This window comes from Homo sapiens, chromosome 16 (genome assembly GCF_000001405.40).
Source record: "Homo sapiens chromosome 16, GRCh38.p14 Primary Assembly".
NCBI classification, from domain to species: Eukaryota; Metazoa; Chordata; class Mammalia; order Primates; family Hominidae; genus Homo; species Homo sapiens.
In genome coordinates, this window is record NC_000016.10 from 52,257,901 (window position 1) to 52,285,796 (window position 27,896).

At 39.4% G+C, this 27,896-nt stretch overlaps 3 long non-coding RNA genes across 5 annotated transcripts in view, besides 1 other annotated feature; all 3 read left to right on the forward strand.

Moving 5' to 3' along the window:
* The window catches only part of LOC105371261 (uncharacterized), a 29,761-nt gene extending 18,221 nt beyond the window's left edge, over positions 1-11,540 (forward strand). For both annotated transcript variants that reach the window (XR_933564.1, XR_007065213.1), the window contains one exon: positions 11,228-11,540. This is a non-coding gene — a long non-coding RNA (uncharacterized LOC105371261). The remainder of the gene's footprint in view (positions 1-11,227) is intronic.
* CASC22 (cancer susceptibility 22) lies at positions 664-22,399 on the forward strand. Its single transcript, NR_135281.1, has 3 exons — positions 664-683; positions 21,709-21,790; positions 22,116-22,399. It is a non-coding gene; the product is annotated as a cancer susceptibility 22 (long non-coding RNA).
* Positions 7,353-8,220: an enhancer, noted in NCBI's record as "OCT4-NANOG hESC enhancer chr16:52299165-52300032 (GRCh37/hg19 assembly coordinates)". NCBI's record gives its function as "activates a minimal SCP1, AML or CMV promoter by ChIP-STARR-seq in primed H9 embryonic stem cells {active_cell/tissue: H9 hESC(primed)}" and the evidence as "EXISTENCE:reporter gene assay evidence [ECO:0000049][PMID:30033119]".
* LOC107983961 (uncharacterized) lies at positions 13,692-16,251 on the forward strand. Of its 2 annotated transcripts, none has more exons than XR_007065214.1 (3): positions 13,692-13,970; positions 15,165-15,319; positions 15,802-16,251. It is a non-coding gene; the product is annotated as an uncharacterized LOC107983961 (long non-coding RNA). The 2 variants fall into 2 exon arrangements; XR_007065215.1 differs by having other exon boundaries at positions 15,212-15,319.
* Positions 22,400-27,896: the final 5,497 nt, after the last annotated feature.

The following is a 27,896-nucleotide window of genomic DNA, read 5'->3' on the forward strand; positions in this document are numbered from 1 at the left end:
AATCTTAAAGTTAGCAATAGGTAGAACTTTAACCTGGAGAAGATATGATAGGAAAAGCTGTGGATATCAATTGCTGTCATCAGATAGTCAAAGAGGTACCACAGAGAAGGTAAAATAGTATTTCTCTGCATTGCTCAAGAAAGCTTATCTGGTTAAATATCCACAAGAGGTATTTTAATTTGAAAGCGGTAGGAACTTTCTCCTAAGTAGGGTATTCCCGTAAGATGCTATCTTCTTTAAGAATTACCAAACTATCCTATTTTTATGCTACAAGTGGCCAGTCATACATTTTTCCACCTTGCTAGGCATGTTTCTTTGCCATCAGCTCACTTCTTTTGTGAGAACGTCTCTTATTTTTATGCCCTGTGCAGAGACAGGAGCACTTAGCCATGTTGTACCTCATGATCACACCCCACCCCATCCTAGCTAATTGATCCATGATCAGATCTATAACCCAGGGCCAGGCAATCATTGGCTCTTTTTCCTGAAAACTTGAATTAAGAGCCAAAGAGACTGTGGTCGTTCAGTCACATGTGTCCAGTTGGTAGACTCATGACTCGTGGCACTGTTGGGCTGTGTGCATAGAAATATAGCCAGCTCAAAGAGAGGCTGCCAAGAAAACAGGACTATGGCAGAACACAGATGCTAAGAGAGAGAAACAGGACCAAGTAGCTCCTGAAACTGTGAGTGGGATTTTCATTTCTTCTGATTTCTAGTTCCTATGGCATTGGCTGTGACTCTGAGTTTGCCCATCAAATCCTTAAAATAATCCTTCCTTCCTTGAGCCAGATTCAGTACATGTCTGTCCCATACAACCAATGATACCTACTCTAACATTACCAAATATAAACAAGTTTATATTTCTCCTTCAAGAATTAAACAGCATCTCTACACACTTCTGCCTGCAACCTTAAACAAAATTATCCTTTAATTAAACATCGTTCCTTGAACTTCATTTTTATAATCATTATTATATTATCATCCGTTTCTTTTGTTCTTACACATGAAGAATAGTTTGAGAGGATCCAAAAATGCTGAAGTCAGAATCATTTTCCTCCAGAATTGGGAATTACTACTCTATTATTACTACTATTTTTATATTATACATGATTATATTATACATTTTATATTATAGAAGTATATTATACATACATTTTTATATTATATATAATACAATGCCCGACTGATTCTCCTTCTTTAATAAATGCTACACCCTTTTTTCTGAAATTGTGTAGGTTTCTCTCTACATATCTTAATAATTCAAAAATAGCACTAGTATATGTCTCTGTGTGTTTCTTTTCCAAGTCACTGCCTGGCATTTAGTGTCCTCTTTTAACCTAAAGACTCAAGAATTTCTTCATTTGAGGGATTTATCCATTTGTTCTATTATCACTTTTTTTTTTAACTTTTCTCCCCATCTATGTTTGTTCTTTCTGTAACGCCCATTTGATATCCCATCTCATAGATTTATCCTGTGTATCTTCTCTTTCTTCCATAATTTTAATTTTGCTCCTTTTCGCTCTGTATTTTAAGAAAATGTCTATTGTTAAGTTATCAGTTTACTATTTCACTGTTTGGCTATTTAGTGTTTATAGTCTATTTTTGATTTGGATAAACATTTGTTTTCTATGAACTCTTTCTGTCCTTCAATTACCTCTTTTTTTTTTTTTTTTTGGAGACGGAGTCTCGCTCTGTAGCCCAGGCTGGAGTGCAGTGGAGTGATCTCGGCTCACTGCAAGCTCCACCTCCTGGGTTCACGCCATTCTCCTGCCTCAGCCTGCCGAGTAGCTGGGACTACAGGCGCCCACCACCACTCCTGGCTAATTTTTTTGGGTTTTTGTTTTTTGTTTTTTTGAGACAGAGTCTCACTGTATTGCCCAGGCTAGAGTGCAGTGGCGCAATCTCGGCCCACTGCAACCTCTGCCTCCCGGGTTCATGCCATTCTCCTGCCTCAGCCTCCCAAGTAGCTGGGACTACAGGCGCCCGCCACCACGCCCGGCTAATTTTTCGTATTTTTAGTAGAGACGGGGTTTCACTGTATCCGCCAGCATGGTCTGGATCTCCTGACCTCGTGATCCGCCTGCCTCAGCCTCCCAAAGTGTTGGGATTACAAGGCGTGAGCCACGGCGCCCAGCCTACCTCTTTTCTTTTTAAACACGTACTGCTCTTTTAAAAATTTTATGCACATTTATGAGATTAGTAGTTTAAATTTTTTTAATTTGATCAGATTCAAAAACAAGATTTGTATCTCCTTGGCAGAAATGGAAGACAAATGTAAAACATCTAATAAGGTGAAATTGAGAACTTGCAGCAGGGGCTAACACTGTGACTCCCACTGAGTATTTGGATCTAAATGTAACCCACGCAAGATGGCAGACCATGGTTAGAAAGCAAGGGACACCAGAAGGGAGCAATAGATTCACTTTGAAAAGGAAAAAATCAACAGGCAATACAAACAATTCCTGTCATCCTAGAATGTTAGAGTTCTCTTATTTTTTTGTTTTTTTGAGACGGAGTCTCGCGCTGTGGCCTAGGCTGGAGTGCAGTGGCACGATCTCGGCTCACTGCAAGCTCCGCCTCCTGGGTTCACGCCATTCTCCTGCCTCAGCCTCCGGAGTAGCTGGGACTACAGGCACCCGCCACCATGCCCGTCTAATTTTTGTGTGTGTGTGGATTTTTAGTAGAGACGGGGTTTCACTGTGTTAGCCAGGATGGTCTCTATCTCCTGACCTCGTGAGCCGCGCCCTCGGCCTCCCAAAGCGCTGGGATTACAGGCGTGAGCCACCGCGCCCAGCCTCTAAAGTTTTATTCAAAGAGGGGGCCAGAATAAATGTTTTTAGACATATAAAGATTTAGAGAATTTGACAAGAGATTTTCTTTCTTAAAGTATTATTAGCAGACATACTATATTAGAAGTTTAGGGCTCCAATTATAAACAGAAAGCTTCACATCCCAATACAGTATGTCTGATAATAATCACTTTATTGAGTGTGATCTCTGGACAATTACATTTACATATATTTAATAAAATCATATATCTATATGTGTATATGTACATGCATATGTATGTATATGTGCATATATGTGTGTATATATACATATATACACATGACTGTGTTGTTTATATAAAAAGCAATCTGAAGAAAATATGGCAAAATGTTCACATTGCTAGATTTGTCTGGTTGATGGTGTCAGATATGGTGCTATTTTTCTGTACATTTGAAACATTCTATGTTAAATATTTTTAAATAATTTCAAAATAGAAAGTCAATGAACATGCCTCGTACAGAAGCATACACTCCAGGCATCTGAGAATATCAGTAGGTGTTCCCTGGCGGGCTCATCAGATCATTGGTGTTGAAGCTGTTTTTTATGCTTATCATAGTAATGCTGCCTACAGTGAACTGTTTAAGAAAAAAACAAAGACAATTTTAAAATCAGCCATGCGTCTCTGAGAAATATTTTTCACTATTCGAGCTTAGGTTTACTTGAGTTGTAAGTCTTTTTACTGTGGGGAAGGGACCAGATTTGGCAGGAGGATTGTTGCAAAAGAATGGTGAGAGAAAAGCAAGTGCTGTCTCCCCTGGTGAAGGGGGACTATCTTTAACAGTCTCTTTCCTCGGATTCATAAATGGATTTCTGCCTCATCTTGCAGTAAATCTGAGACCAAAAGAATTCATAGGGCCTCCTAATGCACGTAATGCAGCATGACTGATGAAATGTGGCAGGCACAACCCAATATCTAGTTTTCTGAAAACCACACTGAAATGAACCATCCTGGCCAGAAAGTTAAAACAATACACAGACTTGAACAACCACCAAAGTTATTTTCCTTGATTCAGTCGTCTTCTCAGGCACTTTGCAATTTGGATTACAAAGCACTGTGTATTTTCTGATGGTGGGTGACAGCTACTGTTTATTCCCAGAAACTCAAATTAATGGTTTTGTTAAATCGACTTTCACCACTGCACACATAAGTCATCCCCTGGGGATCTGTCTAAAGGTCTAAGCCAGTTTCATGTACTTCAAAATGAGTGCTCTTAAGCAAACAGCAAGAAAATTGGTTACCTGAATCTTGAAAGTAAATTGAGGTGCTGCCTGCAAGGACACAGAAGGGTCAGAAGAAACAGGTATAAAATAAGAACCAACTTCATTGGCCCTTCCCTAGCACAACAATCATGTCAGTAGACTGGACCAGTGATTCCAACACAATGGGAAAGGTTGGGATTAAGAAGCGTTCTGTTCCCATTTAGTTCTTTTCCTGTGTCTCTCAGCCTCAGTTGTTCGATCTGTAACACTGGATTCCAGCTTCCTGTTTAATGATTCCATAGATGAGGATGAAATGCAATTACAAATGGGAAAATATCCGTAGATGACACAACACCATAAATGTATACAGTCACCATCTAGATAGTTGGGTGAATGTTTCACATTGGTGGCTTAGACTCAGTGAAAGCAGCATACTGAACTACAATGACTTCTCAGGGCCTAAGATTGTCATATAAAGTGGTTGTAATCATGTAAAGGCATTATGAGAAGGGCAAGAGAAAATAGCTGCAAAATCACATTGCAAAGTTAAAAAGATGGGGCAAATATCAGGTGTGGTAATCTTTTATGAGCGTTCTGACAGCATCCTTCTGTCATATGTTGATGAAAGAGACAAAGAAACACCAGTTCTTAGCAACAATGTCAAGGAAATGACTGTAGGGCTCTGCATGTGGGGCAGATTTGTCTCCATTATTTGGATATTTCAAGGAGAAATTGGGAGAGTTTTTTCTTATTTAATTTCATGTGAGTTGCCTGGAAAATTGCCACCATTCTCGATTTCATTTTTTTATTGGGCATTCTGAAATAAAATGATTAACCAGTGTAGGTAGGGACTACATGCTCATTTTTGGAGGGATTCTGAAGACAACTTATAAAGGATGCTATAAAGGTTAGGTAATGACACATGTCTTATTCAGGGTGAAAATGTTGGGTTTTCTTTAGTAATATAAATTCTCCAAATACTGGCCTGCCTAAAAGATTTAAAATTGATATCATCTACTCAAAGATCATAGGAAAGAACACAAATGGGTTAGACCAAAACCATAGACCTACTTTAAGTGCTCAAAAACCAAGAATGAAAAGTCAAGATTGACAAGGATTTGATTCAGGTTCCAATAAAGCCCTTGCCAGAGCAATGGAGCAATGGGAGTACAAGGTTAGGGATCTCTGGTCTGCAGGCAGGCACTTAACTCCCACATTTGTGTATTCTCCTGTAAAGTGGAGATAATGCTACAGTATTTGCACTTTGCTGTACAAGGCTATAGATGGGAATGTGGTTTCAAAAATATAAAGCCCTGTGGAAATGCAAGTTATCTTCGTTACACTGACAGACAATTCAAGAGTGTTTGGTTTCCACCACTCTGTGCTGGTCACCAAAATAATGCGGTAGTCATAACGCAAAAGCAATATTTAGCACTACCCTCCAAAAGAAACTCTGGACTGGCAATATTTTGCATGCTCTTACACAGAGTCCTCAACCAGGTGTGTCCACAGTTCTCGGGGAAGTCCATGGATTCACTTCAGTGGAGTCTCTGTTTCCTCTAAAGTTCTATCATATATGTGCGTTTATTTATATGTGTATGTGGTCAGTATGTGTGTGTGAATGTGAGTGTGCACACAGAGTTTCATCAAAGTACCAAAGGGATCCATGCCTCTCTTCATGAAAAGCATCACCTCCTTTTGGTAGTTACACATCCTCTACATAATCTGTATTTCATTGTAATTGTTCCCATTTTTATAAGGAAAAATAGCCTGCAATGTATTTAGACTGAACAGCCTATTCTCAGACAATGTATTCCCTAAACATAGTCATTTACTCAAAGGTTGTCATTTCTTTAAATTTCTGTTCTGTGTACTCCCTTTTCTGGCAGGCATTGAAATAGTGTATTTCAATGAAGGTTGAGGGTTGACTCTGAAGGCCAAGATGCAAACCTGGCAAGCAGAAGGCTTGTGGTTTTGATAAATCCCGAGCCATTGTTTGATAGGAAAAATGATCATAATGTGTTCAGTAGGAAAAATAGCAGGCCACAAATATTAAAGCTAAAGACTTTCATTGCAGCCTTGATGCAGACTGGCCAATGGACAGTATCTCACCCTCAACTGCCTTATTACCTAGTTGGTTGAGAGTTTCCTGATAATTCTCAGAACATAATAACCCTTCCAGTGATGGCAACAGACTCTCTCTTCCACAGCTGCTGCATCAATGGTAGTCATCTCTAAGTGGTGTGGAGGACTCTACCACATCACAAACAAATCTCAACCCAAATCTGTTGAAGTGCTTTGTTTGGTTCATGGATTCTCAATTCAATTCTAATGACATTTGTATGCTCCCAATATCACAACATTGATATCTAAATTTCCTTTGGTTCCTAAATACTAGGATTGCCATGTTTGCTGTAAGAAGGTATATGTTGCCTTCTATTTTCATTTGGTAAATAATACATTTTTGTTAAACAAGGCTGATTGCCATAGAAGCAGCTGAGCTCAAACAATAGATACAAAGCTTGAAATGTAGTGATACTAAAGATCTAACCATCAGCACAGTGAGAACTTCTTGTTCTTGATCATGATAATCAAAACCAACCTTGCCAAGGCTTCTTAAAGTAAAAAGGGCTGGATAAAATGCCATTGTCTGATTCTTTTGTTTTATAGGGTAATATGCAAAATCTTCAGCTTTTCCTAAGCAGTATATAAATGTCCTCAAAATTCTACCCTTTAGCATAATGGAATATTTTGATGCTTTTATAGTGTTTTGTTTTGTTTGTTCATTTTTGTTTTTTGCATTCAGTACTATTTACAACTTTTACTAAAAAAAAAAAGCTTTAAAAAAACTTCCATAAAACTTGCTCACCAACTTATGAGTAGGGTTACTTTAAAAAAGAAATCGGAGGCTGGTGGTTAATAATGTGCCTGCCTTAAAGCTTAACAAAATAACTTCCCATCGAGTATCTGTAAATTAATGACTAATCCAACTTTTAACACAAGTTCACTAGAAACAAATGTTTTACATATACATGGCAATCAATAAAGAAGACAAAAATATACGGATGTGTTTAATCATTTATTTCTTAAATTCCATCATGTGTGTTGGTGTTTGGCATGCAAATACCATGGTTTGTTGTGAAAATATAACATACGTGAATTGAATTCATGGCCAAAATAGCAAACAAATAGTTGTTTTCATGTTTTAATGTTTAACAATAGTATTCATATTTTTAAATATAAATATATGTCTATGTGAGTGGATATACATATGTGAACATTCAGACACAGACATTTTAATCTTGAATCTTTTGTTTTTATTTAAAAAAAATCAAAAAGTTAGTTAACATCTCAAGTTTCAATATCAGATTTTTACAGCCAGAATGCAAACAGCAAGGGGGTTAAAAAGCAGTTACTTCTTGTATGTGTTTGCCTCAAAAGCATCTTCTCTAGAGCTGACCCCATTGGCTAAAACCTTCTTCTTTTGTGCATTGTTCTTGATTTGGTGTGTCACCTGTCTCTTGTTTGTCTATAGATTAGCACAAAAATGTCATTGCAAACTAAGTGAATAGGGCACAGCCTCAGCACCTGCCACTTTTAAAACTCTTTAGAAGATTCCCTTGTTTATTTTGTAGGCACCCAGGGGGGCACTTAAATAACTGCATTGAAACAAACAATACTGGTGATGATTAAGGAGGCTTTTCACATGAAAATTCACTTCAGAAAAATGTTTTGCAGATGTACTGAAGAAAACTGTATCACTAAGAACCACTCAAAATACTTTGGTGGACCAAAACACCTTTATATTTCTTCTGGCAACCTGCCAAGTTCACTGCCGGCTTGAAAAGAATTCTATAGCTGGAGGCTAGAGCAGAAACTGCAATGATTTAAAAGAGAATTGGCTACAGTAAGAACGATAATGCCCTATATCGTTAAAATGCAACTGGCATCTCAGTCTCCCTACAGCTCTTTGAAAATGTGCTTACTCTTCAACTATTTACAAGGAAAAATGCGGAGACAATTGAAATCATAGGAAATAAAAATTATTTTAAACGGCTGAGAAGTATTTGCCAAATGATTTATCAGTAGTGCTTATAAAATAATGGCATGTTCTCAACTGTTAAATGAGTAAGAAATCCATGCAGAAATTCTGCTCATTATGAAACTCACCCACCAAACACAAACCATTTTCATGATGCCCTAAATTAATTAATGCCGACTGTAAACACAAAAACAGTTGGCTGAAAATTAAGATGTGAACACAAACGGACACCGTTCTGATATGATTGGTGTATCTTAGCATTTGACAGAAACAAAGAGACCTTTGGTTACTTTTCTGGGTGATTATGGAGAATGAATATGTGGTCTGGCAAGCTAAGGAAAATCACAGAGTCCATGGACCAAATTAAAAGGTATCTCTTCAGCGTTTGTACAAAAACCAACAGGAACATCTGTCCAGTAGTTTAGATTATAATAAGCCACAAAGACACACGTATAAATTCAGTATTCAACACATTATACAAAATCCATTATTATTTTTTCTTTATGTAAAAAATAAGTAGAATTCTTCTTTCAGTTGAATACAAATACCTCTCCATTTAAATTTGCTCTCGTGAATACACAAAAGTCAATGTGGGAGTCAAGAGTAATTTGCAAGGAAACTCAACATGGGAACTGTGGAGAGGAAGCAGTCGGTTTAGCAGACCAATCTTTCAATGCATGTCAAAACTTAAATAAGCCGTGCTGGCACCTGGCCTCAAGGGGCTTAAGGCACAAGGGCATAATGTAAATATATGGTATCAGCCAAGGTTATTGACTCCTCTCATAGAGGTATGTCTCAAGTGTAGTGGGAAGATTGACATGGAAACATTTTCTAAAAGCCTAAATGTGTACAATCAGATAAAAACTCATGGAGTGGGACTTTTGCAGCTCTAATCCAGACACCACATTTCAATCCCCAATAGCCATGCCCATCTTTACAGTCAAAAAAGAATAGTTCTCAGTTATACCTGCCACTAATTACTGACTTCTTTCTTTGCTGTGCAAACAAAAAATCACCGGTGACATATGACAAAGTCTTGACTAAAATAACCTATCACTGAGAATTTAATTCAATTATGTTTACTGTTTTATCCTCTCCTGATGGTTTCAAGTTCCATCAATATGCTAAATCTGTATTTACAGGCTGAACCTGCTTCCTGAGTTCCAGACGCCTAAATGTGATCTCCTTGATTTCTAGATGAGTCTCTCCTGCCTCCAACTCAACAGTCCTTGTAGAACTCATCATCTCCTTTAACCTTACATAAACCTGAGCACATCCTCCATTAACTAACCACGCAGTTACACGAGGCCAAGCATTGAGTGTCATTCCTGGCTTTCCCTTCTATACAGTTCCCGCAATTATATCCAATCAATCCACTGAATCTAGTCCTGTTGATTCTACCTTCTTAGTACCTTTCAAATATATCCTTGGCCTCCATCCCTATCCCAGTATCCTAGTGTTCAGGGCACCATTGCCTTTCATTAGATTGCCACAGGAGTCTCCTCACCTGATTCTCAACTGCTACCTTGTCTGCACATAAAACAGCTTTACAATAGCCAAAATGATCCTTCTAAATTTAAATTTTGATTTCTGCACTACCCTGCTTGAAACCTCACAAAGGCTGCCCACTGGCCATATGACAACACATAATCATAATCTAGTTTCTAAATATCACTTCAGATTGTTCTCCTCCCAGGACCCAGGGGACATTCCAAAATAATGCATTCTTTCAGGCTCTCAAAAGAACCACTTCCAGGCGAGTCCTTCTCTCACTTCATTGCTGACTAACTCCGCAGCTCCTTGGAATTTAGTATAGCTATTACCTCTTTCCAGAGCTGTTTGCTGGCACCCCAATGGCTGCCCTAGGTCCTATTTTCCTGTGCTTACTAAGATCTTAGCATACAAGCACATGTCGTTTCATTGCACTTCACCTTATTGAACCTTGTGGATATTGTTTTACTGTGTTGTCTATCAGTGCCATATTTTCAACAGCACATGCTCACACATGTCTCTATATCACATTTTGTTCATTACCACAACATTTCAAACCTTTTTATTATTATTATAACCATTGTGGTGATCTGTGATGAGTGATCTTTGATGTTACTATTATAATTGTTTTGGGGTGCCACAAACCTCACACATATAAAACAATGAACTTAATTGATAAATTTTATGTGTGTTCTGACTACTCTACTGACCAGCCATTTCCCCATCTCTCTCCCTCTCCTCGGGCTTCCCTATGCCCTGAGCCCATACATCAAGTCAATTTTGACTTTCAAGTTTTATTATTTTAGAAATACGTTTCATAAGGCTACAGCTGCCATACATAGATAGTGATTCCTCTATGGATCTGGGCAAAGTTAATTGAAAACTCCCTGGAAAGGATTCAACATTCCAGATGTCATTAACAACAGTTATGATTCATGGAAGGAGGTGAAAATATCAACATTAGCAGGTGTTTGCAAGCAGTTGATTCCAATCCTCATGGATGACTTTGAGGGTCTCAAGACTTCAGTGGAGAAAGTAACTGCAGATGTGGTGGCAATAGCAAGAGAAGTAGAACTAGAAGTGGAACCTAAAGATGGGAATGGATTGCTGTAATCTCATGATAAAACTTGGAAGAATGAGAAGTTTTATCATGAGATAAAATAGAAGCTACTATGAATGTTGTTGAAATGACAATAAAGGATTTATAATATTACATCATTAGTTAATAAAGAAGTAGCAGTGTTTGAGAGGATTGACTTGAATTTTAAAAGAAATTCTACTGTAGGTAAATGCTTTCAAACAACATTGCATGGTACAGAGAAATCTTTTGTGAAAGGAAGAGTCAATGGATATGGCAAACTTTATTATTGTCATATTTTTAAAACTTGCCACAGCTACCCCAATCTTCAGCAACCACCATCCTAAATAGTCAGTGATCAATATTGAAGCAAGACCTTTCCACCAGCAGAAAGATCATGATTCACTGAAGGCTCGGATGATAGTTAGCATTTTTGAACAATAAAGTATTTTAAAGTATTTATGTTTTTAGACATATACTATTGCACATGTCATAGACTACAGTATGGCGTAAACATAACTTATACTCACAGAGAAACCAAAAATATTTACGTGACTTATTTTATCACAATATTTGCTTCATTACAGTGGCTTGGAACCAGGACCCACAATATCTCCAAGGATGCCGGTATATCCCACTTCATTTCAATGACCCACTTACTGAGTTACATTCCATACTACATTATCAATGCCTCCAAGTCAGAGACTATGTCTTACTTTTGTTTGTATGTCTAGTTGCTAGAATAGTTCTGAGTGCACAGTAGGTGATGAGGTTTATTTTGATGTTGAACAAATATGTACAACCTGCAAAGATATTTTTACTCAGTGCTTTATCCATTCAGATTTTGCCCTCATGAATCAAAACTGTAGTTATAAATATAAATAAATGTATAAATGCATATATATGTGTGTGCATACAATCAGTTGGCCCTCCATATCTGTGGATTCCACATCCTCTGATTCAACAAACTGGATAAAAAGTATTTTTAAAAATCAATAAAAAATACAAGCTAATAAAAAATACAGTATAACATCTATTTACATAGCATTTGCATTGTATTAGGTATTCTAATTAATCCAGAGATGATTTAAATTATGGGGGAAAATTTATGTAGATTATGTTCAAATACTATGCCATTTTATATACACACACACATATACACACACACATATACACACACATACACATACATACAGATACACATACATATATATTTATAACTACCTATATATTTATTTATGTTTATGACTACAGTACATCATATTTACATAAAAAACTCTGGGCAGAATAATAACTATGGAAACAGAAATGGTAAGTATAATAAATAGGCCAAAACACAACAAAAGGCCCCAGGAATACAGAAGGAATCATCAATCACCACGTTTCACAAAGACGAGCAAATATAAAGAGTCTCAAAGTACTACTTAGACTAGGTAACTTGCAACTTAAAATTCCACCACTGAAGATTGCTGCTTCCAGATAGAACATGACTACTCCCAGGAATTATTTGTAAAATGTAAATACTCTTAGGAAACAGGCTCCATTAAGTCTCCAGATATCTTAACGCTAATTAGTTATGGAATCTCCTTCTGCTGTAATGGAGAATCCTGGGAGTCGGGGTTGAGTCTAGAGAAGACAACAGAAGCAGGCTTCGCCTCCTTCATCATTGTATCCAGAACTGTTTACATCAGGGCCCTGTGCTTGCTAGATGTTGGTATCCTGGGCTTGGTGGGTCACACCTATAATCTCAGCACTTTGGGAGGCTGAGTCAGGAAGATCAGTTGAGGCCAGGAGTTTGAGACCAGCCTGGGCAACATAGTGAGACCCTGTCTCTACAAAATTTTTTTAAAAAGCAAAAAGTAAAAATAAAAATTGAGAACCAACAAAAGATTGTTACTTTGTTTCAGCTTTATTGAGGCCTAACAGAAGTACACTAAATTGCATCTACTTAACATGCACCATGCGATGGGTTTATTTTTAATTTAATTTTAAGTCCCAGGATACATGTACAGGAAATGCAGGTTTGTCACAAAGGTAGACGTGTGCCATGGTTGTTTGCTGCATCTATCTACTCATCACCTAGGTATTAAGCCCTACATACGTTAGCTATTTATCCTGATGCTCTTCCTCACCGCAACCCCCAACAGGCCCCAGTGTGTGTTGTTACCCTCCCTGTGTCCATGAAATATGCATACACCTGTGAAAGCATCACCACAATCAAGACATTTTTACCCCCCCAAAAATTTCCTTGTGCCCCTTTATAATCCATCCTTCCCTCCGCCTTAGCCTGTGCAACTATTGATCTGATTTTTGTCACTCTAGATGAATTTGCACTTTCTCAAATTTTATGTAAATGGAATCACAGAGTATGTGCTCTTTTTGGCAAAGCTTCTTTCACCCATCATAAGAATTTTGAGATGTATCCATGTTGTTGTGTGTGGCAACAAACTTTTTACTTCACTAAAGTGATGATATCTTTTAAACCATTCTTTCTACTATCATAATCATTTTGTAAAAGAGAAGGCCTTTTAACCATCAAAAAAGAGAGGATGTGTCCTCCAAGTAAGAACAGTTGTTCTCCAGAATGAGAAATTGGCAATGTCATGCTGACAAAGAGGGGGAGTCCCTAGGTAAAATAGTATAAACCTCATCACCCAAGGCCAGTCCTTCTCCTGGCCATGAGAGGGGAAGCGCTGCCCCTCACAAAGCCTTATATGCCTCATTCAGGGAGGGAGAAAAGCAGTCCCTCTTGAGACCTGTTTCCATGGTAACCAGTGAGCAATTGACAATGTGGCTGCAGTTGGGCCTCCTTGAAGGGGAAAAATCTTCAACAGGAACCAGGCCACTGAGAGATGGAAGAAAGGACAGCTCATACCCAAACCTCACGAGGAGGCTACAGGAATCACTGGACAGTTCCTTTATTGGGAAAGCCCCCAGTGACTTTCCAATGAAATGGATAGAGAAGGGAAAAGAGACCCTTCGGAATCAGATGAGTCCATGAACTGGCAGCAGTCAGGGCAGTGATGACATCACAGAAGGAGGATGGGCCTTAGACAGACATCACTCTTTAGAATCCCTGCAACTTTGAGCAAGTTCGTGAATCTCACTAAGGCTCAGTTTCCTCCATAAAATTAATCAATATCAGGGCCTCTGCATTGGACAACTCCAGAGGGCACCATTGGGGTTATACCTTGTGTTTGCCTAACCTTCATTGCAGTGGGCAGGTGCATGCTTTCTACAATGTCCTAAGGTCTAAAGGGGTAGAGTTCTGTGTGTGGCATTTTAGGCCTGGAAAGGATGAGAGTCTACAAAACCAGAGAAATACTGCAGGTGAGTGAGGGGCTAAGATCCAGATGCCCCCTGCCACATTGATCCTCTCCAAGACAGGAGGCCCCAGATCCCCAGATCTGAAGCCCTTTTTAAGAGCAAGAGTATCAGCTGATGAATTTCATGCATTGCACACCGTGACTCCCAAGATGGTCTGTCAGATCTCCAGGTTCTGGAGGTTGGAGGTTCCGCTCAGTGACAGCCTGGCGGTACAGCATACCCAGGTTCAAATCCCAGATCTACCACTTAATAACTAGGTAATCTTGGATGGATTACTTAACCTTCTTAAGCCTCATTTACCTCGTGATAATTTATTTTATAGAGTTGCTGAAAGAATCAATGTGAAAATGTACATAAAGTGTTTAGCAAATACAGTAGTGCTCAATAAATGTCAGCTTTGTTGTAACTCTTCAGATTTTCCCTGGGCAAAGTAAAAGCTTTCTTGGAGCCTTTCTCTTAATCAGTCCTGCCTCAAACATCCCTTCTGCTGAAACAAGCTGTGATTAATCCACTGTAGACCCGACACTCCACTAAATGGGGCACAGTGCAGAGGTCCGTAATGAGGATCTTTTTAAAAGTAAAGCATATACATCAGTCTCAACACTTATAAACATCAGAATTACTTGGAAAGGAGGTTTACAAAAATGCAAATGACATTTTGGAAAGCCTAATTCAGTAGGTTAGTTTAGAGCTGTGATATTGTGATTTATAATAAATATATATTTGCTCTTGGTCTCTATTCCTGGCACAGAGCTCCTAAAGTCCTTGGAATGTCCTAAGTGGTGAGTTTATGCTAAAGAGGTAACTTTTGGAAAACCTCTAAGGATGGGGGGCTGGTTGCCAGGGGAGCCAACCATGTGATTAGAAGGTTGGAACTTTCACCACCCACCACCCTGACCTCCAGGGAAGGGAAAGTGGCTGGAAGTTGACTTAATTTGCAATGGGCAATGATTTCATCAATCACGTCTATGTAATGAAGCCTCCACAAGAAAAAAATCTTAACAGAAGACCTTCAGAGAGCTTCCAGGTTGCTGACCACATGGAGGTCATGCCCAGAGAGGGTGTGAAAGCTCCACACCCCTTTTCCATACCTTGCCCTACTTATCTCTTCCATCTGGCTGTTTCTAAGTTGCATCCTTTATATTAAAGCAATAATGTTGTAAATGAACTTTCTCTGAGTTCTGTGACCCATTCTAGCAAATGGTCAAACCCAGGAGGGAATGGTATGAACCTCTGGTTTACAGCCATTGGTAAGAAGCACACATGACAACCTGGACTTTCCATCAACATTTGAAGCGGGAGCAGTCTTGTGGGATCAAGCTCTTAACCTGTGGGGTCTGCTACTAACTCTGGTAAGTGTCAGAATTGAATTGAATCATAGAAAACCCAGTTGGTGTCCATAGCAAATTGGTGTGGACCCTACACGTTTGATCACAGAGGTATTCTGTGTTGAGTGTGCATATAGACAGAAGAAAAGTTTGTTCTTCCCTATTCAAAGGCAGAGTTATTTATCTGTGTTGTTTTGTTTTTAAAGATTCCCTGGGTGATCCTAGTGTGTAGCCAAGATTGAATATTATTGACCTAGAGCAGAGTTGGCAAACTTTTCATTTAAAGGGCCAGTTAGTAAATATTTTAGGCTTTGCAGACCACCTACATATTTTGCCACATATTCTTTGTTTGTTTAAAAATGTAAAAATAATTCTTAGATTGCAGGCTGTACAAAAATAGGCCATACCCAGATTTGGCCCACAGGTCACATTGCTTATTGATTCCTGGTCTAGAGACCATAGCCCTGGAGGTTCCATGATCTAATATATTTTTTGGTTTCATCTAGAATCCAATGAACACATGGACCCAACACTCCTTTGGCCAAGTTGATGATTCTCCACCATTTATTTGCCTGCCTCACTATACACTTCTAGCAAGCCACTGCAAGGCTGCATTGCAGCTAAGAGGAAGCCCTCCTTGAAGGCTGCACAGCAAGGAGTGTTGGCAGAGTAGCTGGGTTTCCACTGGGAGAGCACGAGTCAGCATCATGCTGGGCTCAAGCATGGATATGCACTGCTGCTGCCAGAGCATCATAATTTGCAAGCATTTATCGAGTACCCTTCATCTAATTTTCATCCTGCGGAAACTAGAAATTGCTACACTTGCACACAATAAACTTCTGGCAGTTAGCCTTCTAAACTGGGACACTACCATTTGGGAGGGAAAAGACCTTTCTGGTGGTTAAAGATGGGGCTTCCAGTTACTGCATTTGTTTTAATACAGTCTATTCCATAGAGCCATCGATGGAGACTCATTATATAACCTTTCGTGGAAAGCTTCTGACTTCTTTCTCAATGCACAGGTGGGATGTAAAGGGACATCCCCATCATAAGGCACTTGCCCCAGGCTAGGAACTTAATTCTCCCACTGTCGACATGTGGCTCTTTAGATTTCATGCTGTAAGTCTCCAGAGGTTTCTCAGGTCTTGCCCTGCAGAAGCAGAAGTCATGGGAAGGAGCTGTCGCGTAGTTCTTTTTTTTTGGAGCTTGGGTGCTGAAGATCAGTTCCTCCAACTTTTTGGTTTTTTAATGTTTCACTCCAACTGCAAATTTCACCCCATTTCTAGTGTACTCTCCTTGAGAGAAGTGGAGTTTCAGATGGGAGCAACTTCACTTGAAGCCCATATTAAATATGGGAAACACATTTTCTGCATCATAAGATGGGGACATTTTTATGATACCAGTACTCTTAGGAAGTGGACTGTTCAGAAAAATGATTTGGATTGAAGAGGGCACACATATAGGTGGAAGAGTTGGTTGTGAAACAAGGGGAAGAATTAACTGGTTTCTCCACTGAAGGAGGGAGGAAAAAAATAAAAGGAAAGAATATGGGTATATCCAGCAAGACAGACAAATGTATGCTCTCCAAGCACTCTCTCTCTCACCTATCCCAGTTCTTTCATGTTACAAAATTCACAAAATGGCTGTGTGTACATGAATTTTGGTGGAAACAGTGAAGAAACTGAGCTTCATGCTGACATTGACACAGAGTAGGACAGCTCTAAGGTAGCCTATGTGAATGAGCAATGGAGAAAGAGGGAAAAACATAAGGAGTTAACCCCAAAAAATTGGCCATGGGTGGTGGCTCATGCCTGTAATCCCAGCACTTTGGGAGGCCAAGGAGGGTGAATCACTTGAGGTCAGGACTTCAAAACCAGCCTGGCTAACATGGTAAAACTCCTGTCTCTACTAAAATACAAAGATTAGCTGGGCATGGTGATGGGTGCCTGTAATCCCAGCTACTAGGGAGGCTGGGGAAGGAGAATTGCTTGAACCCAAGAAGCGGAAGTTGCAGTGAGCCAAGATCGCGCCACTGCACTCCAGCTTGGATGACAGAGTGAGACTCCATCTCAAACAAACAAACAAACAAACAAAAAACCTCCCCCAAATTATGGAGAGGGCTCCAGACTTTCTCAAGATTGTGCAGTTAGCTGTTGTTTAAAGTTAACTAAATCCCGATCTGATGTTTATTCTCTTATTTTTAGCTATTGTTTAAAGTTAACTAAATCCCGATCTGATGTTTATTCTCTTATTTTTATTTTTAATTTAATAAGTGCTTCACGTGACTTTTGAGTTATAGCTGACTGCCCTAGCTCACATTTTAGTGCCAGAGTAAGTATCAAATGGTAGATTTATTTCTCTTTTTTATAAAAGAAAATCAATAACCAGTTTGCAATGCCTTTGGTAGAAATTCAATGACTAACATAAGGTTTTACTTTATCAAGAAGCTGGGATATTGTCAACAGCTATCCAAGTAACTGATTCAAAATCCAATTGTGAAAACATTTACTGGGCACTCTCTGCATGCAAAGCAGTGAGAAGGTGCTGGGAAGATTAAGAAAAATCAGGTGCAGTCTCCCTCCTTAGGAGAAATGGCACAAAATAGCATGGTCATGGAACCAGAGCAGTGATTCTGACATGCATTTCAGAGACAAACATGGTGGAGGCCATGTGACTTAATCAGCAGGATGGAACTAAAATAGGGCTGCCTAGGATTATACAAACTATGCTGTTGCTGCTGGAGATTCCCAAACTGTGGCCTACCAATGTCATGGCAGGTGGGGGATAAGTGGACGATGAATCCCTTCAGTGCACCATTCAAGGGCTTTCAGCCTGAAATAAGCTAATACTATGAGCAGAATGCCCAGGAAGGGTTTATGAAGGGTATACCATACTCCCAAGATCAAAATCACCTCTTGAGGAATCCCTCCCAAAGGACTCACAGTCATCTTCCAAAAGGCTTTTAGAAAAAACTAAAGGATATGTTTTTCCAAGAGCCTGATGTCTTAGTGGTCTGGAAGACATCCTGGGAATTGTCTGGAAAGGAGGCATTGGACCTCTAGCTGTGATGAGATATAGGAATAAGGAGTGGTGGGCTAAGTGTGCATCTAGTATGCAAAATAGAGAGAACAGTAAGTGTGATGAGAATAAGAAGGTAGTTGCCCAAAAGCAAATTTAATTCTCTCCTACTCCTACTGGAGAGAAGAACAAGGGATTTGGAGGAAACACAGCAATGCAGCATCCACAGGCACATAGTATATGCTCAATAAATATTTTTTTTCAAATAATATACAAATATAGAAATAAGGTCTACAAACATCACTTGAGAAGCACAGGATGTGATTCACTCTTCAGAGCCAAATTTTATTTGTGGTATCACTTTAAAAGGCAGCAGCAGTAGTGCTACTGAGACCATTTCCGCTGGGAGAGAAGTTCTGAGGACTCTGAAAACTTATAGGAAGAGGCAGGCAAGACCAGAGATAGTGATAAGTAAAGTGATTAACTGAGGAGCTGTGTGGGGGGAAAAGGATGTCTCAACTTAGCCAAGGTTCAGAGATAACAGAAGCTTTTCACCAAATGAAAGGTGACTGAGTGACCAACTGTCACTGACTTCAGGAATAACTTGCAGACAGAACAGGTAGACTCAGACAGCATTCTCAGGTGAAGACCTCAAGGGAATTCAGCTAGTTGAGGCAGCCCCAAAACCTGGTGGGAATCCAGCTCATTTCTGGGAAACCTGAACAAGAACGGATTCATAGATCTCAAAATTGTACAAAGAGAAATTTACCAATAAACACAGGAAAAAATAAAATTTCCTGGAAATATCAGCTACCAACAAATATATTTTCAGGTGTGCTTCAGGATTAAGGTTTATAAAAGTGTGTTAAGAAATGAAAATATTGTTTGTGTGGGTGGTGGTTGTGTTCCTGGGGCAAAAAAAAGAGAGAGAGAGAGAGAATTGCAACTCCAACTCTTCTTTTTATATATGAGAAAACTGAAACTTGGAATGATAAAGTGACTCACTCAAAGTCTCCACACCTACTTGGTAGCAAGTCTTTATTCATAGCTGCATATAATATATCACCACCTGACATATTATATATTCTTCTATTTGAATATTCTTTCCATTAAAATGGGACTTTATTTGCTCACAATAATATTCCCAGAAGCTAGAACAGTGCCCGGCACTAAGGAAATACTCAGTAAACATGTGCTGAATGAGACAATGATTTAAATCTTTAGACTCATATTCCAATGCCATTTAGATTACACCATCCTGTGAGTTTGTGTCCTTTGCAGGGACATGGATGAAGCTGGAAACCATCATTCTCAGCAAACTAACACAAGAACAGGAAACCAAACACCACATATTCTCACTCATAAGTGGGAGTTGAACAATGAGGACACATGGACACAAGGAAGGGAATATCACAACACGGGGCCTGTCAGGGGGTTGGGGGCTAGGAGAAGGACAGCATTAGGAGAAATACCTAATGTAGATAACGGGTTGATGGGTGCAGCAAACCACCATGGCACGTGTATACCTATGTAACAAACCTGCATGTTCTGCACATGTATCCCAGAACTTAAAGTATATTAAAAAAAAGATTACACCATCCTGTTCTCTAAGTATAGGGGAACTGGCAGCACTCAAATCAACACATATTTACCAGGTACACATTACATGCCTGGCACTGTACTTGTGGGAAGAAGAGATGTATTAGTGAGGACTCTTTCAGAGCAAAATGCAAAACTCAACTGAAACTAGCTTAAACCTAAAAAGGTGGAGGGGGAATTTGTTGGTTTATGTGACTGAAAAGTTCTAGAGTAATACTTTCAGAAATGGCTTGAACTAGAGCACAAACAGAGTTATCCAGGCTTTCTTTCTTACTCACGGCTCTGCTTTTCCATGCATTGGCTTCACTCTTGGTCATGATTTCTCCAGAAAATAACCTTGGTGCTTCAGGAAAGAAATTTCCTTTATCCTAACAATTCAAGCAAAACTCTAGGTAGGGCTCTTATTGGTCCAGCTTGGATCATGTACCCATTCACAAATGAGTTACACTGATGCAGTATTTTGCTTAACCAGAGTGGATCAAGCGTCCACCCATGGAACCAGAGATGAAGTCAGCCCCTTCTAAACTACATTGAACTGGACTAAGTGTGATCCTCTAAAAGAAAATTGCAATACCCCATCCAAAAGAAGAGATTTGCTGTAAAGGTTAAGATCATACACATCCTCCTGCACCCTGCAAAGAGGGTATGGGGGTCAAAGCATTTAAATGAGTCTCTAAGTCTCAGAAGGTTAAAACTTTCTTGGGGGAAAAACATAAATCAATAAGTAATATAAAATAGCACTTCATTAAGATAAAATATGAGCTCCTATTTATCATGGGCTTATTACACTGTATAAAACCATAGCAATAATTATAAAAGCTCAACATCCTTTTAATATACAATGTTGTGCTCTGTACATGGACACCTCTACACAACCTGTGATTGATATTTCTATATCTGATCCTTGTAAGCTATTAATATGGCACGGCCAGGTAGCCAACAGTTCAGGTTCGGTCTTACTGTTATCTTTTTAGAGCAGTGTTCATGCAATTGATGGCCATTTTATTGTTTTCTGCTTTTAAAAAATAAAAGTAAAGAAGAAGAAAAAGATAGTACATGAAATGATTATATAACTATATAATAATAATTATCTTAAATTTCATGAAGCTCAAGCATGGGCGTCACTAGGTGAGGGAAAATTAGCGAGCCTCCCTCCTCAGTTGAATGCTCTTTGGACCACAGTTGACTAGGAGTTCAAATATAAAGGAAGACAATTAAAGAATAGATACTGGACTCAGGAAATGTAATTTTGTCAGCTTTCATAATAAGTCTACCTATTGCACGTATTTCTCTCACATACCTTTCGGGACTCGGTTGTCTATGAATGTGGAGACCTGCCTATCTGTGCATCAGGGCATGAGAGCTATCTAGATCTGTGTTGATTAAACTTTTGTTATTCACAATGTTTGCTCTATTTTCCTAACTCCTCTCCTATCACTTAGCATTTCCCCTTAATTCCCCTTTTTACTTAAGTACATTTATTTTTAAAGGAAGATCTGTGTCACAAACATAAATGGAACGCTGGTATCTCTGTCATAAATCAAAAGCATCTGAAAAATAAAACAATCTTATTAAATTCCAGATAGATACTGCTGCCAAGCCTCTAAGCCCAAGGCCTGCTCTCTCTTTATTAAGAAAAAATGATTAGCAAGCATCAGAGAGTTAGTAAAGACATATTAGCACCAAACTTGAACTTTTTCCCTTGCCTTGAAGATAAGAATTGAAAGAGAATCGAAAGGCAGTGACTTCATCACGGTAAGACATTGTTTAATCCCTTGTTCATGTGCTACCTACAGAGATCCCAGACCACCACCCATGATCCCAGGCTGGAGGAAGCAGCAGGCTAGCGGAATTCAGGACCAATGAGCCAGGAAAGAGGTACTGGTGAAGACTTCCTGGAGGCAGTGACACTTGAGCTTGTCCTTACAGGGTTGGAATGGTTTTGACTCTCTTCTGTGGGAAATGCCACTTGGTAAGGATGCAGGCAGGAACGGGCATGCAGTTAGTTCTGCCTGAAGGACCAGTGGTGCCCAGTCCTGTCGGAGCGTCCTCAGAGCCAGGGTATTCATGCAGTGTAGTGGGGAGGAGCAGGGAGCCTCCATTCCGTTGGCTCTTCAATCTTTTATTTTAATCAGTTGCTTCTCACTCCAGTTAACGTTCCTCAGCACAGATCTTTGTCACTAATGGTATGATTCTCACCTAGGACCCAATGCAGAGCTCACATCCCACCCTCCTTCCCCCATGACAAAGCACTGGCAAACCCTGCCAAAGAAGAAGCTTGGCTGCAAAGCAGTCTGGAACTGGACCCGGGATAGATTCACCAGGAGCTCACCACCACAGGGAATGCTGCACTTTGACTGGACAGAATGCATCCTCCATGCCCACAGAGCATGTGCCCAGGATGAATCTCACTGTATCCCAGTTCCTCATGCTTGGCCCCAAACCTCTTTTTCACAGTAATAAAGAAAACACACTTTACAAAAAGGCAGTTCATCTATGAACATATTGGCTAGGATAACACATCTTAGAGCTAAATGTGTCACTGTAAATGGACTCATTTTATATCTCCACATACTGTAGATGTTTAAAAAAAGGTACATGCACAGAAACTATGGGAACTGAACTGGAGTATGAGCCAATTACCCTAGACTTTGCTGTAATCTGACTTTTGTGTAGCACATTTTCTTTAGCATTTTTCTTAATGGGGGATGGGGAGTGGAGGCAAAGGAGACAAACTGACAGCAGAGCATTTTATTTAGACAAAAGAAATATATTCAGCCTGTCTTAAATTATTTGTCATTATAATGACGTTTTCTAATTTAAAAGTATTTTGCTTAATAATATATAATTGAATATTATATGCAATTAATCATATCATCATAGCTCTTTAAAGATTTATCTCTCAATATCTAATTAATTACGAGGTCTTGTTTCTTCCATCTTCAAAATACACCTGGAATTTTTACTTATTCCTATCTCTACTGTCTTAAGCCTAGTCCAAGTCAATGTCCTCTCTTATTAGAAAACTGTGGAAACCTCCTCCTTGGTATCCTGCTTTGCATTCTTGTCCTTAAATAATCTATTCTTCAAATAGCAGTCAGAGGACTTTTCTAATCCTATTGTTCTCACTCTTAAATCTCTCAGAGCCTCCCCACCGAACTCAAGGTAGAGCCCAATTTCCTTCTAGAATCCTATAAGGCCCCTATCCAGCTTCATCTCTCACCACACACCCTTCCTTGCTCATACTCTGCTGATCTTGAGCTCTGGCCTGGAGACAAGCCTTCTTGTGTAGTGGTTAGAGATCCTGGCTCCCCACCTGATTAGCTATATGATGTTGGATGAGTTACTTAACCATTAGACTTGCCTCATTGCCAAGGCAGGGGCAACAATGATCCTTATCTCCTAAGCTCATTTTAGAAATATATGGGTTAAAATAACTTCAACAGGTTTGCACTAGCCAGAGGCTGGAGGGCATTTTAAGATTTTGTTCTCTCTGGGAAAAAGGGACCTTCTTTCCACATCTCCTTTGTACCTTGGATAGATTCACCAGGAGCTCATCATCACAGTGAATGCTGCACTTTGACCAGACAGAATGCATCCTGAGTGCCCACAGAGAATGTGCCTGTGATGAGTCTCACTGTCAGAACACACCAGTGCAAACCTTACTTACCCATCAGGTCCTATCTGTTATGGGCTTCATTGTGTTCCCCCCAAAGTTTGTACACTGAAGCCCTAAACCCCAGTAGTTTAGAATGAAACTGTATTTGAAAACAAGGTCTTTAAAAGGTGATTAAGTTAAAATGAAGCCACTGGTATGGTTCCTTACTCAATCTTACTGCTGTTCATCCAAGAAGAGGAAATTTGGACATACAAAGAGATGCCCAGGGATGCAGGCACGCACGTGCATGCGCGCGCGCGCGCACACACACACACACACACACACACACACACAGAAAAGCCCATGTGAGTACAGAGTGAGAAGACAGATATCTGCAAACCAAAGAGAGAGTCCTCAGGAAAAAGAAAAAAAAAAACCTGCTGACAGCTTGATCTTGGACTTCTAGCCCCTACAAATGTGAGAAAATAAATTTCTAAATTTCTGTTGTTTAAGGCACCCAGACTGTCATATTTTGTTATGGCAACCCTAGCAAACTAACATAGAGTTGCAGATTTTGAACTTACCAAGCCTCCACAATTGTATGAGCCAATTCCTTTAAATATCTATTATCTAGCTCGCTCGCTCTATCTATCTATCTATCTATCTATCTATCTATCTATCTATCTATCTATCTCATCTTATTGGTTCTGTTTCTCTAGCTAACCCTAACAAATATACTGTCCTAAGAGTAATTGCCTTAGGAGGGTGCCCTTGCCTGAACATGAAAATGGATTCTGCCATCGTGGATCCTTGGGATGTCTGCATGTTTCCTTCCAGCACCTGCAGGAACAAATGGTTACATTTATGATTATGTATTCACCATCCATCCATCCATCACACAGTGATGTCCTAGAGTAAATGGCCATGTCTATTGTTTACTGCCACACCCCAAGGACCTATCATGTTAAATTAGTGTTGGATGAATAGACATGGAAGATCCTGTGAAGTCTCAATTTCATATTATCTGTTTGCTCTTATAACTCACAAGAAAATTAAAAGACCACATCTTTTTGTAGAGCTGATTGATATATTCACCAATACGATTAAGGTATTCATCACCCGTCAGTCTCTTATTTTAAACCAATATTTTACTGGGTTTATGTATTCAGTGCGAGAAAAACTTTACTCCAAATCCCTTATTATTATGGCTCCTTGTACCTTAAAGTCATACAGGTGCACTCAATATAAACGTGAGTGGGCGAGGGATGGAGCAGCTGTGATTGACAACAGTGACAATAGACTGTGGAGCAAGAAGTGACAGAAGTTTGCTGACTGGATTCTATATTTAATATTTCCAAGCAAATTAATTCTGTCACCTTTGTGAGACTTAGCTATGCTTCAGGGCATGACATTTTAGCCATGGTTTTTTTCTTCAGTTTTTTTGCATCTTGGATTGCAAACTTCTGGCTCTTAAATAAAAATAATGCTACATTGTTTATTTGCAAAGTAACCACATGGGACAGGGGAAAATGCACCAGAGGGGTAACCAATAGAGTGATCCAACTGGCGCAAATTGTGTGCTTTTCTTAGATACCTTCCTTCTCATTACCTCTATCCTCAACTCTCTGTCTGCTACAATAAGGGGATGATTTAGATTTTTCTAAAGACTCCCTCCAACAATGGGAGCTTATGACTGAACACTTGACTCACCTGGCAGGTAAGAAGACCAGTGTCTTCCGTGCTGTGTCTCTCAGGATTTGTTTCAGAAGTATTCTCTACCCCGTTTTCTCTCTCTCTCTCTCTCTCTCTCTGTCTCTCTCTCTTTCTCTGTCTCTCTCTCTCTCTTTCTCTCTCCCTCTCTCTCTCTCTCTCACACACACACACACAAACACACACAATTATTAAGGTTTTATTATATTCCTGGTACTGTGATAGATGTTGGGGAAATATAAGAATAAATAAGAGTTGTCTGTCCTCCTGGAAATGAGAGGTAATGGGCACTGGCATTATTAGGTGATGAGTGCTCTGATAATAGAAGCTCTGGGTCCCCCTGAGTTTACATCATGAGCCCCTCACATAGCACTGTGTGGAGAGAAATCAGGGAAAGCTTCCTGGAGGGAGTGGAGCCTAAACTAACACTTCGAGGATGAGTGAGGTTCACCAGGTGAAGGTGTTGGAGTGTGTGTGTGTGAGTGTCCGCATGATGATCAGGTGTAAAGGACACATTCCAGGCAAAAGATTCCAGCCACACTGAGCTCTTCCCTGCTCCCTGATGCTTACCTTCTTGGTCACTTTAATCATTGGTTCCATCTGGAAACTCTGTCTGTCATCTCTAATGATTCATAGTCCACCCATCCTTCAAGGCCTGGGTAAAATACCGTCCCTTCCAGGAAGTCTTCTCTGATTACTGGAACATCCAGAGCCAGCCTACGTGGTCCTCCCATCACATCAGTGATGAGTCACAATAGGCAAGCCACGTGAAACAGGGCCCCACAGGATACAAACATATATTCAATAAAATAACAATAATCAAAAAAAGTCTGAAAATAATTTCTATTATTAGTACATACTCTTAGGAAAATGAAGAAAACCATACAGACTTCACAAGAATTGTTTTTAATAAATTCTATATTCTTATATTTCTCATATTTAATACCAAACAGTTTCTAACCAAAACATAACCCACTTAGCTCTTTTTTGCTCTCTCTGCTTCAGTGAGTCATTCTCTCTTTTTTTCAGAATAATCATGGAGGGGTGCTAATATGCATGCATTTCCCCTTCACATTTGCATGGAAATTTGTGCTATCAATATCTTACCTGACTCACCAGGCCAGTGATTCTTGTTTAAGGCAGAGAGGTTCCCAGTTGGAACTTTTTAAACTTCTACCAAGGAAGTTCTCAAAGAACATAAAAAGATTCTCTCTCAGTGAAGAAAAAACAATGCATTCTCTCTTCACCTCCAATTTTTTTTCTTTATGTACTTAATTCTTTAGCATTTGTTGAATATGAACTATGACAAAGTATAGGAAGAAGCCTTCCTACTCAAGTTCAGAGACCTTATGGTTTTGTGAAAATATAAAATTAAGTTTCAGAGGAGGTTACCTTAGGGAAGGCCTTCACTGGAGCTTTTTATTTTTTATTTTTTATTGTTTTATCTTTTCTTCTGAGACATGATCTCACTCCACCATCCAGGCTAAAGTGTAGTAGCATGATCATGGCTCACTTCATCCTCAACCTCCAGGGCTCAAGTGATCCTCCCACCTCAGCCTCCCAGGTAGCTGTGACTACAGGCACATGCCACCATGCCTGACTAATTTGTTTTTTGTTTTTTGTGTTTTTTTGTTTGTTTGTTTTAGAGATGATGTCCCACTACATTAGCCAGCCTGGTCTCAAACTCCTGGACTCGGTGCATCTTAATCTTAATCTTAAGAGTGTGCTACAGAATTGCTTAGAAAAAAAAAAGGAGTTAATGAGGCTGAAGTCTATATGAAGTTTAACTAGGTTTGCAGAAGGGGAAGTCTTTTTTTTTTTTCAGCATTGGTCTGTGTCTTTGGGTACTGCCAGACATATTGCAAATTCAGGCCACTGATCACAAGAAAAATCAGAAAAGAATTATTAATGCCTTAGAAAACCATTTTAAGACATTCCCACCTCAGTGAAACAGCCCAGCAAGAGCCTTGTGGTGGCAGGTCAACAGATCATCTTTGTACACAAAGCAGAGCGTTTTTCTGATGCAGAATCTCAGAACTCCCCAGAAGAGGCTAAACATCAGGCCTATGAATAAAGCTGCTACATAAACACAGGAAAAGCTACTGACGCATAGACCCATAGTTTAAGAAGGAGCTAAAGGTATTTCCTCGAAAATTAAGCAAGCAATAAATCTTCTTATTCACAAGAATGACCCATGTTCCCTCACCTTTGATAACAATGCAATTTTACTCATCCAGCAGCAAAAGAATTATCAAAACTTATGCTAGAAATATTATAAAGAGCTGGCCTGCCTGTTTCAAAATTCCTCCCAAGAGGAATCTACACAGCAATTCAGCATAAGCTATGAATGTTATTGGATTAATTAGAACACTTCAGAAAAATTTCAAGTGGGGAATTATAAAAATTCTGATGGAAATTATTCCCAGGAATGCTCTTAATATAGAAAAGTTACCGTATGAGGATTGAGATGGGGTGATAATTCATTAATGGCCTGAAAGTGTTCATGGTAAATTGGTACATAGCTATAAACACACATAATCTATTCATTATTTCATTCTCAATACCTATGTAGAGTCTAATATGAATTGACAGTGTTTCGGTGCAAGGAACATGGTGGTGAACAAGCAGATAAAATCCTATCTTATGGACATACATTATAGGAAGAGACAGGAAACG